At 45.0% G+C, this 20,289-nt stretch overlaps 2 pseudogenes, besides 1 other annotated feature; one reads left to right on the plus strand and one right to left on the minus strand.

Annotated features, from left to right (window-relative positions):
* Positions 5,362-6,561: an enhancer, noted in NCBI's record as "MED14-independent group 3 enhancer chr6:7505263-7506462 (GRCh37/hg19 assembly coordinates)". NCBI's record gives its function as "activates an origin of replication core promoter dependent on BRD2, BRD4, P300/CBP and CDK7 cofactors, and independent of MED14, by STARR-seq in HCT116 cells {active_cell/tissue: HCT116}" and the evidence as "EXISTENCE:reporter gene assay evidence [ECO:0000049][PMID:35650434]".
* On the plus strand, positions 6,508-6,950 carry RPS26P29 (ribosomal protein S26 pseudogene 29; annotated as a pseudogene).
* IDH1P1 (IDH1 pseudogene 1) lies at positions 16,426-18,210 on the minus strand (annotated as a pseudogene).

The following is a 20,289-nucleotide window of genomic DNA, read 5'->3' on the forward strand; positions in this document are numbered from 1 at the left end:
AAACATTCAATATCTGCGAAGCATAAAAAAGCAAATTGCAATAAAATGAGGTATGCCTGTATATACAAATGTTCCAGAATCTGAAAAAATCCAAAGTTCAAAACATATCTAGTCCCAGGCATTTCAGATAAGGGATACTCTGTGTGTGTGTGTGTGTTTGTGTGTGTGTGTGTGTGTGTGTGTATGAATTTTGAGAGTGTTGTTTATTTTTATTTTGTAAATACAAGGTCTTGCTCTGTCACCCAGGCTGGAGATCAGTAGCATGATCACATTTCACTGCTGCTTTGAACTCTGACTCAAGGAATTCTCCCTCCTACCTCAGCCTCCCAAGTAGGTAGGACTCCCAAGTAGGTGGCGTACACCACCATGCCTGGCTAATTTATTTTATTTTTTCTAAAGACAAGGTCTGTCTATGTTGCCGAGGTTGATCTCGAACTTCTGGCTTCAAGTGATCCTCCCTCCTCAGCTCCCCAAGTGTGTGTGGTTTTTTAAATCCCCTTTTGCGGGTGAGGCAATTGAGGAAAGGCTGAGGACACACAGGTAGTGGGTGAGCAGGAAGGGGCTGCCTACCTCAGGGACACATGGGAAGTCCTGCCCCAGCTCCCTGGATGAGTGTGGCCTGAGCCAAGGGAGGGAAAGGAAGGCTGAACAGAAGGGGGTAAAAAGTGGGGCGATTTAAGGAGCAGACTTGGGAGCACTGGAGCGCAGGGGGAGGGAGAGGAAGGAACCTAGAACAATTTCTAAGTTTGTGTCATGGACAACTGAGAGATCATGGCATTCCCAGAGGTGGGGGGAAAGGAAGAAGGCGCAGGTGAAAGAAAACAAGCCCAGGCATTGCTGTGGAACATGGCAGAAGAGGACACGTGCCCCAGACCAGGAGCATGGTGCCGTGAGCGGGTACCAGGAAAGGCCCCGAGGGTGCTGTGTCTTTTAAAATGGGCCTTGCAGCCAGGTGCAGTGGCTCATGCCTCTCATCCCAGCACTTTGGGAGGCTGAGGCAGGTGGATCACCTGAGGTCAGGAGTTCGAGACCAGCCTGGCCAACATGGTGAAACCCTGTCTCTACTAAAATACAAAAATTAGCTGGGCATGGTGGTGGGCACCTGTAATGCCAGCTATTCGGGGGGTGGGGGGTGGTAGGGATGGTGGCAGCAGGGGTCTCAGGCAGGAGAATCGCTTGAACCCAGGAGGCAGAGTTTGCAGTGAGCCGAGATTGCACCACTACACTCCAGCCTAGGCAACAAGGCCAGAGTCCTTCTACAAAAAAAAAAGAAAAGAAACAAAGGGCCTTGGATTCGGTTCAAAGGGCTTTCAGCAGGTGAGGTTGCAATGGAGAGTGTTCTACTGAGAAGAAACAGGTAGGGAAACATGAGATTGTGTGTAGGGAGTACTGACCGTATATTTTGGTCAAGGCGCTCCATCTGTGGCCGGAAAGGTGTTTGAGCTTGCGGCATAGAAATCCTGGGCTGGGCTTGCTGACGGAAGGCTGTCAGGACGGATCTAGGTTGGCTTAGAATGGGGAGATACTGGAAGTGGGGAGACCAGTTTGCAGGGTTTTGCAATGATGCAGGGAAGAGGTAAGGTGCCCTTGGATTGGGTGGGGATGCTGGTATTGGAAAGAGGAGGGTGTAAAGGGACCAGGGACATAGAGTCAACAGGCTTTGATAACTAGAGGTAGGGCTAAGCGGGTAGGGAGGTAGTCCAAGGCCATCCTGAAATTTTTGAGCTTGGGGTGAAAGAAATAAATTCATTTTGGGGAATACTGTGGTAAGACAACCATTGCCTATCCAGGCAGTGCAGCCCAGAAGGTTGACAATGTGTCTGGAGAAAGTCAGTGCTAGATTTGGGATCATCCTCCCAAGGTTACAGCTGAAGTCTTGAACAACAGATGATACTGTGGAGGACAGAGTGAAGAGACAGGAAGGCAGCAGAGGACGTAACCTTGCCAAACAGCCCGTTTTTGGGGCAGGAGAAGAAGGAGGCATCAAAGGTGACTGAGGCGATGTAGGAGGAGAATGAGGGCAGTGCCAAGGTTCAGAAGTCTGGAGAGGGATTTCAAAGAGGAGGTGGCATAAATCAAAAATCACCTTAAAACCCAGGACCCGGCAGGGCGTGGTGGCTCACGCCTGTAATCCCAGCACTTTGGAAGGCCTAGGTGGGTGGATTGCCTGAGGTCAGGAGTTCAAGACCAGCCTGGCCAACATGGTGAAACCCCGTCTCTATTAAAAATACAAAAATTAGCTGGGCGTGGTGGCATGTGCCTGTAATTCCAGCTACTCGGGAGGCTGAGGCAGGAGAATTGCTTGAACCTGGGAGGCGGAGTTTGCAGTGAGCTGAGATCGTGCCGCTGCACTCCAACCTGGGTGACGGAGTGAGACTCCGACTCAAAAAGACAAAACAAAACAGCTGGGCACAGTTGCTCACACCTGTAATCCTAGCACTTTGAGAGGCCGAGGCGGGCGGATCACCTGAAGTCAGGAGTTCAAGACCAACCTGACCAACATGGAGAAACCCCGTTTCTACTAAAAATAGAAAATTAGCCAGGCGTGGTGGCGCATGCCTGTAATCCCAGCTACTCAGGAGGCTGAGTCAGGAGAATCACTTGAACCCCGGAGGCGGAGGTTGCGGTGAGCCGAGATCATGCCACTGCACTCCAGCCTGGGCAAAAAGAGTGAAACTCCATCCCAAGAACAAAACAAAACAAACAACAAAAAAACAAAAACCAGGACCTTAACTATTTAGCAAGCTGCTGCTGCTTTAGTATTTTGGCCAAGAGTAGATACAACCCTTTCCCTCTTTTTCCCCTCTTACTGTTAGATGCTGGAACTTTCAAAGACTTTTCTAAGTATTGCCAACAGAGAGCAAAAGAATACAGTAAACATCAGATCTGCAGGCTATACAGTTCTCATTGCCAGCACAGCCATGGTACTCTATGGGGCTCGTGGGTTTCCCTCCAAAAGGGAGCAGAGTTCCTCACACCCCAGCCCGAAGTTGGTATGGCCCCTTGGAGTTCTTGGCTGGGCTCCCTGCTTCAGGGGGTGGCTTCCACTCGCTGGCCTCTTTCTGCTCCCATCACATAGGGGCCCCTGCTCTGACAACTGGCATTTGCATCTGGGCAAGACGGCAGCCTGTCCAGGCCTGGCCTCCCTCTTCCTTTGCCCAGCATGAATGACCCCTTGTCCTGGTCAGGGACACCAGGAATCCTGTCACTCTTCCCAGGAGACAGTGACTACAAGCAGGGCCAAGAGCCCAGTGATAGGCTAAAGAGCTACCAGCACTGCAGTGTGTAACGGACCGAGTCATGCGGTGCAGCTGGGGCATGCGGGAAAGGAGGCAGTGCTCTCCCTTGGAGCCAGGTGTAGCAAACACTGCCGCGGTGGAGGAGGCTGGGACTGAGATGAGCCTCTAGGAAAGGACGAGAAGGACGCTGGTGGCTTTCGGCAGAGCTCACTCATCGTAGGGCAGGTTGGACCAGACAAACTGCAGACGGTTATAGCGTGAGTGTGGAGGCTGTGGCGTGGATAGCCCCACTGGAGAGATCTGGCCCATTCCTCCCTTCTCCTGCATCCCATGCAACCTGGCCACTCCAGCTCCTGTTCAGGTCTCACTAGTCCAGGTGATTCAACCACATGGAAGCAGAGGCCCCATCATTCCCCGCAGGCTCGCTGCCCTCTGTGGGGTGGGGCTGTCCCTTTACCTTTCCGAGAGTCAGCTCTTGTGGCTGCACCCTCTGACTTAGGTTTGGGGTGTATCCTGGCAATTTAAAGAATCACCCAGTGTTGCAACCATAGAATTGTGGCATTTTAGGGCTGAAACGGATTTCACATATACAATGTCATAGAACTTCAGAATTTAAATAACATGTGGTATTGATCCTATCTGGTATTGTCCTGGAACTGGTTCATACTGGCTCCCCAGAGCCACCCTAAGAAGGTGGAATGCACCCTCTAACTAGAGTTTCCATCTCTTCCATCCATCCTTTCCTTGCCTTGCCTGTCTTACATTTTAATTTTTTTTTTTCTTTTGGTGACAGTCTCGCTCTGTTGTCCAGGCTGGAGTGCTATGGCTCAATCGGGGCTCCAGTGATCCTTCTGCCTCAGCCTCCCCAGTAGCTGAGACTACAGGCTTGAGCCACCATACCTGGCTAGCCTTCAAGTTTTTTGTAGAGATGGGGTCTTACTATGGTGCCCAGGCTGGCCCTCAAACTCCTGGCCTTAAGTGATTCTCCTGCCTTGGCCTCCCAAAGTGCTGGGATTCCAGGCGTGAGCCACCATGCATGCTGCTCTAATTTATAAGTGTCCATGCTTTCCTGACTTTTATCCTCCTGTAAAAGTCCTAACCAGAACTTTGAGCTCAGCTGTGCAAGTACAGAAAAATCACACTGTGGGGGAAAATGCGAGCATCAAAGTTAATTTGCTTTCGTGTTGAATTCACATTTATCACAAAGACAATAGAGCGAGTCCAATAACCCATTCTAAATGACGTATTTCCAGTCTAGTTTGTTTCTTCTTACTTGTGGTCACGCTGTTGACCCCAGCCTACAGGGCATGCCACTTTTCCCCTCAAGGGCAAAGAAGCCTCTAATTGTTGAGGATATTACAAATACACGATTGTGTCTGCATCTCCCTGTTGCATTCCACCTAAGTATAGTAAGAACATTGCCCCATATTCAGCTTAAACTATGAGAGGGAATTTCAGGAGGGGTTTAATAGCAGTCAGTCTCTTTCCCCTGAGAACCTATTTTCAGAGGAATTATTTGTCCCTCACTCCCTATTAATAGTGCAATAACATCCTCCTGCTTCTGTTTTTTGACAGGATTCTAGGCTGGTGTGACCAGACTATGCTTTCAGCATCCACTCATTGAAATAGAATGCAAAAGGCCAGGCGCAGTGGTTCATGTCTAGGACTTTGGGAGGCTGAGGCAGGTGGATCACTTGAGGTCAGGAGTTCAAGACCAGCCTGGCCAACATGGTGAAACCTTGTCTTTACTAAAAATACAAAAATTAGCTGGGTGTGGTGGCGGGTGCCTGTAATCCCAGCTACATGGGAAGTTGAGGCAGGAGAGTCGCTTGAACCCAGGAGGCAGTGGTTGCAGTGAGCTGAGATTGCACCACTGCACTCCAGCCTGGGTAACAGAGTGAGACTCTGTATCAAAAAAAAAAAAAAAGAACGCAAAAGATTTGGATTCTAAATTCTGCTGCTAATTAATAGCATGACCCTGGGTAAGTCATTTCCTGTCTCTAGGCTGAGGTTTTCTCATCTATAAATGAAGGATTTGGACAAGGTCAATGATGGGCTAGTACATTTTTTAACAATCAGCTCTTAGTGAAGTGGGAGGGGAGATAAGCCTGATTTGTAGTGTTTGTCAGTTTCTGTGGTGTAAATAATCCCACTAAAGGCCCATTTCAAACTACCAATTTGAAGTAAACCGGCTTGAAAATATCCTGAAAATGAAGCCATTGGCTCTGGTGAGCCAGTTATTTAAATTCTGAAGTTCTATGACATTGTATATGTGAAATCCGTTTCAGCCCTAAAATGCCACAGTTCTATGATTGCAACACTGGGTGATTCTTTAAATTGCCAGGATACACCCCAAACCTAATTAACAGCATTCGCTTGCTGCCTCCGTGCACTGGCATCCTAATGAAAGCTGGCTTTGGTCCAGATTCGGAGCCAGATGCCGTGGAAGCAGAAGCTGCTCTGACGCTGTCGTGGCTGTGAGTTGGGGAACTCGGGCCTTGAAACTCACTCAATCAAGAGCTGCTCCTGCCTTCCCTTCTTTTGGTCAGGTGGGGATGATTCATTCCTGTGTTATTTCAGCCACTGTTTCCCAGGGTGCCTGGAAGCAGAGAAGGCCTGAGAGCTTGAAGCAGACAGAGGAAAAACAGGGAGAAGGAGGAGAAAGGGACCCGCCTTGGGTAGGGCCCCTGCTGAGTCGTGGGCAGGTGTGAGTCATTCCTCTCTGCTTCAGCAGCCACACCTTTTGTCAAGTTCTGAATGCCAGGTGGAGAATCTGCCTAGACCAAGCGCCCTTGATCAAGTCAGAACAGGTTTCCTGAAAGATCATTCCCATTAAAATTAATGGAATCAGAATAGGCTGATCTTTTCTGTAATGTGACGTGTTTCTTTTCAACATGTTTCCTAAATGCTTAGAGAGACCCCCTAAAAGTATAGAAGAGGGAGAAAAGAGGAAGAAGTGTGCTTTCACATCCCCAGGGCTCGGGACTAGAGAGAGAAGGTAGTTTTATATTATCCATTCCTGCCTTCCCAACCAACCACCTTACCAGCTTACCAAAGAACTGACCAGCAAGGACAGTGAAGAGTGTAATGAGCATGAATCCTCATGAGCTGCCATATTATGATCAAGATCTTTCCATTGAGTGTGTGTGTTGCTATTGAATTAAGAAGAAAAGGTCTAGAAGGGAAAGACTTGGCATATAACTAATTTCAAAGTCTTAGGGACACACTTTACAGCCATAAGGTTGGCAACTATTGAAAACAGAAACAACTCCTCTCTCTGGTCCGTGTCTTCAAGATGATGAAGAAAAGAAGGAACAATAATTGTGCCAAAAAGAGCCGCGGCCACGTATAGCCTATTCGCTGCACAAACTGTGCCCTATGTGTGCCCAAGGACAAACCCATTAAGAAATTCGTCTCTCGAAACATAGTGGAGACCGCAGCAGTCAGGGACATTTCTGAAGCGAGCGTCTTCGATGTCTATGTGCTTCCCGAGCTGTATGTAAAGCTACGTTACTGTGTGAGTTGTGCAATTCACAGCAAAGTAGTCAGGAATCGATCTCATGAAGCCCGCAAGGACCGAACACCCCCACCCCGTTTAGACCTGCGGGTGCTGCCCCACAACTGCCAGCAAAGTCCATGTAAAGAGCTGAGTCCTTAAAGACTGAAGACGAACTATTCTCTGGAAAAAAATTAAATGGAAATTGTACTTAAAAAAAAAAAAGAAAACAGAAACAAACAAAATAATAATGGTGGGTGAGGGTGTGGAGAAATTAGAACCCTTGTGCATTGTTGGTGGAATGTGAAATGGTGTAGCCGGTGTGGAAAACAGTATGGGAGTCCCTCAAAAAAACTACACAGACGATTACCATATGATCCAGCAATCTCACCACTGGGGTTACATCCAGGAGAACTGAAAACAGAGTCTTGGCTAGGCACAGTGGCTCACGCTTATAATTCCAGCACTTTGGGAGGCCGAGGCAGGCGGATCACTTGAGGTCATGAGTTCAAGACCAGCCTGGCCAACACGGTGAAACCCTGTCTCTACTAAAAAATACAAAAATTAGCTAGGCGGCCAGGCGAAGTGGCTCATGCCTGTAATCCCAGCACTTTGGGAGGCCGAGGTGAGTGAATCATTTGAGGTCAGGAGTTTGAGACTAGCCTGGCCAACATGGTGAAATCCCGTCTCTACTAAAAATACAAAATTAGCTGGATATGGTGGCACATGCCTGAAATCCCAGCTACTAGGGAGGCTGAGGCAGAAGAATTGCTTGAACCCGGGAGGCTGAGGTTGCGGTGAGCCCAGATCGTGCCATTGCACTCCAGCCTGGGCAACAAGAGTGAAACTCTGTCTCAAAAATAAATTAGCCAGCCGTGGTGGCACGTGCCTGTAATCCCAGCTACTCGGGAGGCTGAGGGAGGACAATCACTTGAACCCAGGCATGGGAGGTTGCAGTGAGCTGAGATCGCGCCACTGCACTCCAGCCTGGGCGACAGAGCAAGACTCTGTCTCGAAAAACAAAAAAGAAAAGAAAAGAAAACAGGATCTTGAAGGTATATTTGTACACCAGTGTTCATGGAAATATTATTTGTGATAGCCAAAAGGCAGAAGCAACTGAGTAACCCATGATGATGGATGAATGGACAAACACAATGTGGCCTGTCCATACAATGGAATATTATTCAGCCTTAAATAGGAAGGAAATTCTGGCACATGCAACAACAAGGATGAACCTCGAGGACATTACGCTTAGTAAAAATAAGCCAGACACAGAAAAACAAATACTGGATGATTCCATTTATTTGAGATACCTAGAGGAGTCAGATTCATAGAGAGAGAAAGTAGAATGTGGGTTACCAAAGGCTAGAGTGGGGGAGGGGAATGGGAGTTATTGTTTAACAGGTACAGAGCTTCAGTTTGGAAAGATGAAAATGTTCTGGAGATGGACGGTGGTGACGGCTGCACAATGTGTGAATGTGCTTAATGTCAGTGAACTGTACACTTAAAAACGGTTAAGATTTCTGTGAATGTGTCTTTTACCACAATTTGGAAAATATTCTACACATATACATAAGAACGACAATAACCAAAAACGTTGGAGACAAACTCCCTGGAAAAAAAAAAACTCTCTTTTTTTTTTTTTTTTTTTTGAGACAAGGTCTCACTCTGTCACCCAGGCTGTTGTGCACTGGCACGATCATGGCTCACTGTAGCCTCAACCTCCTGGCTCAAGGGATCCTCCCACCTCAGCCTCCCAAGTAGCTAGGAGTACAGGCACATGCCACCGCACCCAGCTAATTTTAAAAAATTTTTTAATAGAGACAGAGTTTCATTATGTTGCCCAGGCTGGTCTCAAACTCCAGGCCTCGAGCAATTCTCCTGCCTCAGTCTCTGAAAGCGCTGGAATTACAGGCACCAGCCACTGCGCTGGGCCTTCAATCTCTATTTTGTGTCTTTATAAGAAATACGAGCTCAGGCCGGGCTCGTGTGGTTATAGATAGATGTGATTATAGAAGTGGTGGCTCACATCTATAACCGCAGCACTTTGGAAGGCCAAGGCAGGTGGATTGCTTGAGGCCAGGAGTTCAAGACCAGCCTTGGCCAACATGGTGAAAACCCCTCTCTACTAAAAATACAAAAATTAGTTGGGTGTGGTGGTACATGCCTGTGATCCCAGCTACTCGGGAGGCTGAGACACAAGAATTGTTTGAACCTGGGAAGCAGAGGTTGCGGTGAGCCAAGATCGTGCCATTGCACTCCAGCCTGAGCAATAGAGCGAGACTCTGTCTCACAAAAAAAAAAAAAAAAAAAGGAAAAAGAAAGAGAAAGAGAAAGAAAGAAACAAAGAAAAAAGAAAAAGAAAAAAAAGAAATATAAGCTCAGAAAAGTAACTTGATCAATATGAGTCTGTTTGGTTATCTGTAAAATGGAGATGATAATGACATGTACTTCTTAAACCTGCTGTAAGGTTAAAATGAGACAGTCAAGTAAAGCCCTTGGTACAGTTTTGGCACACAGTATGTGCTCAATAAGTGTTAGTGGCTGGGTGCGGTGGCTTACACCTATAATCCCAGTACTTTGGGAGGCTGAGGAGGGAGGATCACTTGAGCCCAGGAGTTCAAAACCAGCCTGGCAAATATAGCAAGATCTCATCTCTTAAAAAAAAAAAAGTGTTAGCCATTACTATTATTGAATCATCGGACATCATGGTTGAAAGTCAACTAGAAGCTCTCCATGGGCAGTCTTATCTAATTTATCTTTTTAAACTGGATCCAAAAAATGGAAACAATTTTCTGCCACATATTCACATCCATCAATACATGCATCATTGAGACCTACATATAAGTGGAGCAAAAACAAGCTACTATCTCTAGTCAGCATTCTTAACCTGTCTTCGTCGCTTATTCTGTATATCAGAGTCCTGCCTTTGTCCTCAGACAAACTGCACTTGGAGCACAGGTGTTTTATGTTTATCAACACCATCAAAGATGAGACATTTGTTTTCTACAAGGAACTACCAGAATAATGTCAGCGGTGCTATGGTGTCCACATAAACTTAAGAGGAAGGCCCGCAGGAGCAAGCCAGCTCTGCAGATAAGGCAGTGGTGATGGTAGAGTATGCCTGCATCCCCCAGGGTCCCACCCTGGGATACATGGATCCTCCAAAGCCATTTCCGTGCTCCCGGCTGCAGCATTCAGCATGTCACCTTCAGGATATTTCCTGGGGAGTTCATCCAATGAGGGCACAAAAGGCAAGGACAGGGAGAAAAACAGAGAAACAATACTGGGAACACCTAATACGTGGCCTTGAAATCTTTGAAACAATAGTTAAGGATGCAATATGGCAAAATGTGAATGTGTGGGGTTGCAATGCCAGTGAATATTTCCAGAACAGTGGTTCTCAAACCGGGGTGATTTTGCCCCTCCCTCTCTACTCCCCAGGGGACATGAGGCAAGACATTTTTGGTTGTCACACTGAAATGAGGTGCTGCTGTGTCTACTGGGTAGAGGCCAGGGATCCTGCAGAAAATCCTACAATCTACAGGACAGCCCTCCATAACAAAGAATTATCCCATCCAAAATGTCAATAGCACTCAGGTAGAGAAGTCCTGCTCTAGAACAACCAGAAGGAATGAAAGGAAATCATTTCCTCCTCAGTGAGGGAAGGATGGAAGAAAATAGCTATTACTATGGATGGTTACAGACGAGGCCCAAAGAAAAAGAATCTAAAGAAAAAGACTGCCCTGCCGGGCACGGTGGTTCACACCTGTAATCCCAGCACTTTGGGAGACCAAGGTGCGTGGATCACCTGAGGTCAGGGGTTCGAGACCAGCCTGGCCAACATGGTGAAAACCTGTCTCTACTAAAAATACAAAAATCAGTCGGGTGTGGTGGCACATGCCTGTAATCTCAGCTACTTGGGAGGCTGAGGCAGGAGAATCACGTGAACTTGGGAGGCAGAGGTTGCAGTGAGCCAAGATCGCACTACTGCACTCCAGCCTGGGGAACAGAGCAAGGCTCCGTCTCAAAAAAAAAAAAAAATAGCAATAATTTTAAAAAATGCCCTTTACCTTTTTAATTTTTCTTTTCTTTCTTTCTTTTTTTCTTTCTTTCTTTTTTTTTTTTTTTTAGAGATAGGGTCTTGCTATTTTGCCCAGGGCTGGCCTTGAACTCCCAGGGCTGGCCTTGAACTCCTGAGCCCAAGGAATCCTTCCACCTCAGCCCCTCAAAGGGCTGGGATTACACCCAGCCCAAGAATGCCCTTTGTATACTACTGGACATTTCTTAACTTTCTTACCCTTATATCCACACCCATACACCCACTACTGAGCAAAGGACACATTTATTTATCATCTTTTTGCAACAGAGATATCAACATTTAAAACTGGATTTGGTGAGGAGGGGAAAATTCCTTTATAAAAGTAAGACTTCTTCATTCAGACCTTCATCTGTGTTAGTCAGAACTTGTTTCCTATCTAGCTTAACATTCAGTAGGAATTTGCCCAAACATGAAATCATTTTAAACTTCACAGTGGGTTATACGTGTGGAAGCAGTTTTATGGACCACATATCAAAGTGGGGAAAAGATTTAGAAAAACTGCACTCAGTGGTCTGTCGAGAACTAAGAAAGAAGCAGCAGCTGCCCCAGGTCCTGGAATCCTAAACCGCATTGCTGTGTTCCTGGAGCACCGTCCCCCATAGAACAAGCGGCCCAATAGCGACCAGCATGTTCTATGACTGCCTGGGTTTGGGTCCAGTCTTCAGGAAGACAAGCTGTGTGGCCTTAGGCCAGTTACTGAACTTCTTTGTGCTGCTGTTTTTTCATCCAAAAAATAGAGATAACAATAGAATGTACCTCATAGCATTGTCGGGTAGATCAAGTGAGATAATACAGGTAAAACACTTAGCACCTGTCAAGGCATTGCAAGCCCTCTAGAAGTCTTAGCTGTTACAGTTTGGATGAGAAAGTGAAACATGGTATATTGATCAAGGTTAAAGGACTGGGTCTGTTTGCTTTTAAATATAATCAACTTTTGTATCTCTGTGGCCTAAAATAATCTGTAGTTTGTTTTAAAACTAGACAAAATAGAATTAATTTTCTTTTCCTCTACTCTGGAAATGACAAGCCAAAATTATACCGGTACCAAAGAATGCTTATACAATTAGAAAACAGCATTGGTGGAGAAAGAGCCCAAGAAAGATAATTTAGATAATTTACTGTGAAAGGAAGTTTAAGAATGGGTTTTGTGTTTGTGCAAATCTTAGGTGCTCAATAAATGCCTACTGAGAAATAAAACTGAGTGATATTTTTATGGAAGATGAGAAGTAATACAATCTTAAGGGAAAGTTGCATGGGAAAAAAAGGGAAATCACTATAGAGGTGACACACTGGGCTCACAAAATATTGTAGGAGTTTTGGAGAGTTCCCATGAAGGCACTCACAGTGTTTCTCTTCCCTGGCAGCTCACTGGGGCGCCTTTAAAAATCCTATTTTTGGCCAGGGTGTGGTGGCTCACACCTGCAATCTCAGTAGTTTGGGAGACTGAGGTGGGCGGATCGCTTGAGTCCAGGAGTTCAAGACCAGCCTGGGCGACCAAAAAGTACAAAAACTAGCTGGGCTTGGTGGTGTGTATCTGTAGTCCCAGCTACTTGGGAGGATGAGGTGGGAAGATGGCCTGAGCCTGGGGAGACTGAGGCTGCAGCGCCACTGCATGCCAGCCTGGACAACGGAGCAAGACCCCGTCTCAAAAGAAGAATCCTATTGCTCAGGGAGGATTGATTAAATCGGATGGGCAGAAGAGGGCTGCAGCTCAGGCTCCAGAGTTTTTTATATGATTGCAATGCACAGCCAAGGTTGAGAGCCAAGGCTCTAGTCTAGACCACTGGTTCTCAACCTTGAATGCCAAAGGAATTGCCTGGGATTTTATTAAAACTCAGATTCCAGTTCAGTCGGTGTGTATAAGGGAAGCGGGGAGCAGAAGGGAGCAGGAGGCAAAGATAACTTTTTCCTAAATAACTCCCAGAAGAGGTCAGTTTTGCAGTTCTGCAGATCCCATTTGCAGCTGCAAGGCTCATATGCTTTGAAAATGGCTCTATATAAACAAATGTATGATGTCATTATAAAATGCTACTGTTGTTCTTTCAGAGGAAACTCATTTGTTCTACAAATGTTTAGTAGCCTATGTGCTTTTGGAGGGATACAAAGATGGATAAATAGATGGCTTCCCTCAAGTTATTTACAATTCAATTTATAATAGATGACATTTAAGTTAAGCAGAAAATAAAACTTCCTGATTGTAAGGCTTTCTGCTGGTGGTGAGATGGGATGGGTGTTCAAGGACACTAGGAGGGTGTTGATGGGTATTGGGGTTGAGGATATTAAGGGGAAGTTTTGCTTCAGGAAAGTAATGAAGGAAGAATATCTGTGTCACGCAACAGAAGATAAGTGGAAAATTCAAGAAAGAGGTAGAAGAAGTTCATAGCAAAAAGAGATTGAGCATCAGGGTTTGGTTTTGTTTTTTTGAGACAGGGTCTCACTCTGTTGCCCAGGCTGAGTGTAGTGGTGCAATCATAGCTCACTGCATACTTGACCTCCCAGGCTCAAGCAATCCTCCCATCTCAGCCTCCTGAGTAGCTGGGACTACAGGCATTCACCATCACACCCAGCTAATTTTTTTATTTTTTGTAGAGACAGGGTTTGGCTAATGCCGCCCAGGCTAGTCTTGAACTCCTGGATGCAAGCAATCCTCCCACCTCGGCCTCCCAAAATGCTGGGATTACAGGCATGAGCCACTGCACTGGACCATGAAAGTTTGAAAGAAGTCGTCTTATAGATGGTTATGAAGAGTTGGAAGTTTCTGAGGAAAGAGAGCCTTGTTGCTGAAGGTAAGAGGACATTGCTACTGGATTTGAGGTTGTACCTGGGAGCTCCTACTGGTCTATGATACTCACTGGGCTTCTCGGGTAAGCCAAGCACATAAGTTCAGCTAAATTTTCTCTAAGAGATTCATCCATATGCCATTTGCACCTGACTTCCAAACCAAATAGATTTATAGACATTGAGAGCAGCTTCGGTCAAGTGTTAGAACCTAGGGGTTTGTACCATGAATCTTTCTGAATAGTTTCTCCTCGTGTCTTCTCCATGCATTTAACATTATCAGTCAACAGCAGTCTGACATCAAGAGTGTTCAGATGCGTTCGTATGTGTCAGGCACCAAGTGGACAGACAAAAGTTAAACTGGAACCTCATCTTTATTGGTCACCTGGCTGATACCAACTTTGCTGACGCTGGCAAGCTCCACACCAGGCTTGCAAAATCTCCACCTGCTTATGAAAGCACTAATGGACCTGCTGAGTTTTCAAACTGTCGGGCAAACCTGCTCCTCCTTGTCTAAGTGCCAGCAGATTTACAAATGCCTCTGATAGTCATTCCCCAAGCTTGAGCACCTTAAATTTTTTTAACCCACCTCCTGCACACACACACACACACACACACACACACAATTTTTAAAGAATAGTGTGTTTTTTTCTTATTAAAAGTAATATCTGTACTAGGCAGAACATTCAGAAAATAGAAAAGTATAAAGGAAAACATAAAAATCACCATAATCTCTCTATCCAAAGATAACTATGAGCCCTGTTCATATTTTGGTAAATTTCTTCCAGGTCATGTTTATTGCAAATGTGGGATTATGCAGCAGAGACAATTTTGCTATTCTGCTTTGTCAGTTAACATTCTTGTTAAATAAGTTAAAAGGGGAAATCATTTTTCTTTTCCTAGTCTGCTCATATCCGTGAAGGCAAATAGCTCTTCCATAGTGTAAATACCCACTGGTGGGTCGTGGTCTTCATTATATACTGGAAACAGCATTTGGTAAGAGAATTATCCAGTGTTCCAGATGCCTTGTGCTGAGACTGCTGTTGGATTCAGTAAAGAATGGTTCTGTCTGAGGTAGGGATCAGTTAAGGTAGGTAGAATTTGCTGATTCTCACTATCACAATATTCTTGGGGATAAGGTGTTGTGCCAAACTCCTATTAATCTCAATAGGGAAGGTACCAGGTTCAAGAGGCCAAAGAAGAGACCAAGAGCCAGCAAATGAGACACAGGGTTTTATTAGGGAATTACATACAGGGGAGAGAGTCCAGCGGTGGCAGGATGGACAACATAACCACATAGCCCAGTGGCAGTGGGTTGGGCAGGAAAACTGCAGCCACCTGCAAACAGCATGCAGTTTCCATAGCATTTCCACTTAACACCCTCCCCGTGACAACCTCCACCTGGCAACCTTCATTTAACCCAAAACTCAGGGCCTTGATGTACAGCCTGTGTTCCATGGAACATGCAAGGGGCTCAGATGTTTATCATAGATAAGGAACGAACTTCCAGGTTAGCTACTTGGGTTCCCCAGCTTGGAACACACATTTAGATGCATCTGCCATCCAGGGGCATTCTCAGAGTATGCTTAAAGAATTGCTACCAGGTGTGTTTACCCTACGTAAGACTATCCCAGGTTTAGGATAGCAGCCTCTACGACTTAAGAAGGCCACCTTTGTGTTCATAAAATCATCTGCATATTGTCATAATATTTGCTTAACTAACTATATAATCCACCCTCAGGACATTTTCATATTAAATGCTCATTATTTCTTAAACTTGCCCTTTTCTTCTCACCTGTCAATAGACATTGATTCTCATGAGGCAATTCTTTCAACAAGCACTTATTGAACACCGACAGTGCTAGAGTTTTCAGAACGCTGATGATCAGGCCCTTCCCTGAGAGATGATTTTAGACTAAGGATGCATGGTTTGGGAAGCCTATGAGCAATGGTTCTCATATCTGCTATACATTAGCATCACCTGGAAAGCTTTTGCAAAGGCCAGGGCTCAGGATGCACCCAGACCAGGTGATTGACTGTTTCTGAGGATGGGACTTAGGCATGTAGCTTTCAAAGCTCCCCAAGTGATTTTAATGTGCAGCCAGGGTTGAGAACCAGTGCCAGAAAACAATGATTCTCATCAAATTGGCTGCATATGAGAATCAGCCAGGGAGATTTTTTTAATAAATAAAACTACCTGGGCCCCACCCCAGAACAAATGAGTCAGAATCTTTGGAAGAGGGATCTGGGCAACTGTATGTTTTCCAAAGCTCCTTCATATAATCTGATACATGGCAAGTACTGAGAATCATTGCTACAGGCAATCTAGTGAATGAGAACATCTAGAGTTGAACCCATTTCTGGCTCTTTGGCTTTGCAAGCCACGCATAACTGTAGGATGAAGAGTCACCTCTGAGCGGCCATGTTGGGTAATGAACAGCAGGGCTGAGAACCTGAAGGCATGGGTCAAGTCTTGGCTTTGCCATATAACATTTGCTCTGCAATGTCACACAAATCACGTAACTTCTCTGGGTTAGGAGTCCTGTCCACCTGCCTAAAAATCCAGTGCTCTTTCTACCATACCTCTGTTTTTAGACTTTTTTTCTACCTTAATTGATATTTTACTGTTTTGTTTTTGTTTTTGTTTAATGATCAGTACATAGACCTAATGATTCATTTCTATATAGTTCTTTTATTTTTTTTCCCAAACCTCCAGGTAGTATTTATCCCAGATTCCAAACTTTCCTGTGGCCTAAAAGCTATTTAGTCTATTGGAAACATTCAGCAAGCTCTTTACAAAAATGACTGCAGTGTCTTCAACGCGTTTGAGTTGCACTCATAGTTTGCCCCAGTCACGTGCGAGTTTAACGTACAACTCTACATCACGTAATGGGACATCTTTAACAACAAAACCTTCCCGTGCCCAAGGTCATGCACAGGAGAAGAAGGGAGTGAATTTCTACTTTATGCATATTTTAGGGAACAATACTGTGGCTATCACTTACCCTTTGAGCACTCTTGATTTTGGTCATTTATATTAGAACATGAGAAACAGTGACAGTGAATACAAATGAGTACTAACCGAATTCCTAGGCTGCTACCAGAAAATAAAATTTAAAGTCCCTTCCCATATTCACAACGGTGGCAATAACTGTATATATATATATGTCTATAAACTTACAATAAAGATAAACTCTAGCTTCTAAACAAATTACACAATCGATTTTGCCTTTATCCTTGAGTGTGACACAGAAAAATGAAAACCTGTAGACCTAGTTATCAAAAGACACTTATCCTCCTCAGCCCAGGTATGAACGTAAAGTTTGGCCTGAGCCAGTTTGATCTTCAAGTTTTCTCCAAGTTTGTCCATGAACTCAAAAGTATTCAAGTAGTCAGAACATTGCGCACTGGGTAAACCTTTAATGCAAGCAGCCAAGTCCTTGGTCATGAAACCAGCCTCAATTGTCTCAATACAGACTTCTTCCAAAGCATTTGCAAAAAAGGCAAGCTCTTTATTGTTATCAGTCTTTGCTCGGAGGGCCAACCCTCTGGTCCAGGCAAAAATGGAAGCAATGGGATTGGTGGATATCTCCTGGCCTTTCTGGTACATGCAGAAGTGACGGGTTACAGTCCAGTGGGCAGCCTCTGCTTCTACTGTCTTGCCATGTGGACACACTAGCATGCTGGTCATCATGCCAAGAGAGCCATACCCTTGGGCCACAGAGTCTGACTGCATGTCACCATCATAGTTTTTACAGGCCCAGATGAAGCCTCCTTCTGATTTCATAGCTTGGGCCACCATGTCATCAGCGAGCCTATGCTCATACCAGATCTTTTGGGCTTCAAACTGGGACTTGTACTGCTTGTCATATATCTCCTGAAAGATGTCTTTAAAACGTCCATCATATTTCTTCAGAATAGTGTTTTTGGTGCTCAGCTACAAAGGCCAATCCTTAGAGCCATTTGGAAGGAACTGTGTGCAAAATCTTCGATTGACTTATCTTGATTATACATCCCTATGGCAACACCACCACCCTCTTCCAAGTTATGTACCAGGTATGTCACCTTTTGGGTTCTGTCACTTAGTGTGTAGGTTATCTCTACTTTTCCAGGCCCAGGAACAACAAAATCAGCTGCTCTGTATTGATCCCCATAAGCAATGCGACCTACGATGATGGATTTTACCCATCCACTCACAAGCTGGGGGATATTTTTGCAGATAATGGCTTCTCTGAGGACCGTGCCAACCAGAATATTTTGGATGGTGCCATTTGGCGATTTCCACATTTGTTTCAACTTGAACTCCTCAACCCTTTTCTCATCAGCAGTGATAGTGGCACACTTGACACCAACGTTATACTTCTTTATAGCTTCTGCAGCATCCTTGGTGACCTGGTCGTTGGTGGCATCACAGTACTCTATGCCTAAATCATAGCTATGTACATCCAGTTCCACATAGGGAAAAATGAGTTTCTCTTTATTCAATTCCCAAATGATTTGTGTCATTTCATCTCCTTGCATCTCTACCACAGAACCGCCACTGATTTTTTTAGACATTTTGAGTTTAATAAACCTTGAAAGTGAATCAATTTTTTTTTTTTTCTGAGACGGAGTTTTGCTCTTGTTGCCCAGGCTGGAGTGCAATGGCATGATCTTGGCTCACTGCAACCTCCATCTCCAGGGGTTCAAGTGATTCTCCTGCCTCAGCCTCCCGAGTAGCTGGGATTACAGGCATGCGCCACCATGCCCGGCTAATTTTGTATTTTTAGTAGAGATGGAGTTTCACCATGTTGGTCAGGCTGCTCTCGAACTCCTGACCTCAGGAGATCTGCCCGCCTCAGCCTCCCAAAGTGCTGGGATTACAGGCGTGAGCCACCGTGCCCCGCCAACAGTGCATCAATTTCTTATCACCCCAATTCCTTCCAGTCTTTCAGACTTAACTGAACGTAGTTTATCTCCTGCCGGGATGATATGCTGATGGGGAGCTGGGGCGCTACAGCTGCTCACATGCTCAGACTCACACACACAGGCTGGCAATCCAAAACCGGACTCCCGCTGCCTTGGCTTCTGACACAGCCTCTGCAGAAACCCTGTATATAGTTCTTAACAGTGAGTACTGAAAATATAAAAAGCTATGCAACTATAATTCTTTTCCAAACAGTTATTCTATTGACTTTTTAGCTTACGATTTGGAGACAAATTATTTTTTTTAGAAACAGGTTTTCAAATGCCATCATCTTAAAACATTGAAAATTTGTTTGGTCTAAAATTTGACTAATTCACGATTTCATATAGATACTACATGCTCAAAACTGTCCAATCTTTCACAACACATTGATAAAATTATTAGGAAAAATTGGATTACCAGGAACAAAAGTGTCATGGAGGACACCCTCTTCCATCAGGGAACCCAGATCAAGGAGTAGTTTTATAAATAATTTTAGTAAAAGACAAGGGAATAAAGCTAAGCAGTATAAAATGTTTATAAGTTAAATGCATGATTACGACTTTAAATTGCCATTGGATTGTGCTTTTTTTTTTTTTTTTTTTTTTTTTTTTTGAGACAGGGTTTCCTTCTGTGGCCCAGGCTGGAATGCAGTGACCTGGTTCGATCTCAGCTCACCGCAACCTCTGTGTCCTGGGCTGGGGTGGTTCTCTTGAGTAGCTGGGACTACAGACGCGCACTACCACGCCCGGCTAATTTTTCTGTTTTTAGTAGAGACAGGGTTTTTCTGTGTTGCCCAGGCTGGTCTCAAACCCCTGGGCTCAAGTGATCCACCCGCCTTGGCCTCCCAAGGGGCTGGGATTAGAGACACACACCACCACACCCAGCCTGATTGTGCTTCTTGTAATGGGATGTTGGAAACTGCTAGCACAGTTTCCACCACCTCCCCTCCCCCACCCTCAGACTACAGTCAATGTCTCCCTTAATTCGATTTCCACTTATTCTATGAATAGCTAAATTGAAAAATGTATGATGTATATGGAAAAATATACAACCAGGGTGGGGAAAGGGCACTAAATAAAAGGAAAAGAAACCTAACCCCAGGCCATGAGCTTACTTCTTTAAAAAAGTATTTACCCTTATCAAAAACAATTTTTTTTTTTAAGGGAAGGGGTAGGTTTCCTGCTTCTTACAAGTGTGTTTCTAGAACTATTAAAAACTTGCCTTTACAAAATAGTTGGTAAAATGGCTCTTCTGGCTTCTGCAAGAAGGCAATGCTGAGATAATCGAGGGTACTCGGTTGAGGATACTCACCAGATTTGGCTGCTTTCTCTCCTGCTTCCCCAGAGTCTGGCCTCTTCTGGTTTTAGCATCTTCATTTTCTGCAGGTGAGTCTGATTTCATAGTTTTGCTCCTCCTTTCCCTTTTGTTTACACTTTCTTACTTTTATTGTTTGTATATTTTAAAATCAGTTTCAGCATCTGCAGGAACAGGTTTGGATACCATCTTGCCAGTCTCTCCATGACTGTCTCTTGAGCTGAACTGCTCCTTTTCCCCGGCTTCCTGGCAGTGTTCCGGGCCGGCACTGCGAGGGCCTTTGCAGAGCTGTCCTGGCTGCAATTCTTACCACCCCTAAGCTGCTGGGACCCTTAAAACTTCTTAAAATCATCAAAACTCCTTTTTTACTTGCGAAATCTTGCACAGAATCCTGATATTTCATAGGGATAGA

This window comes from Homo sapiens, chromosome 6 (genome assembly GCF_000001405.40).
Source record: "Homo sapiens chromosome 6, GRCh38.p14 Primary Assembly".
Lineage (NCBI taxonomy): Eukaryota > Metazoa > Chordata > Mammalia > Primates > Hominidae > Homo > Homo sapiens.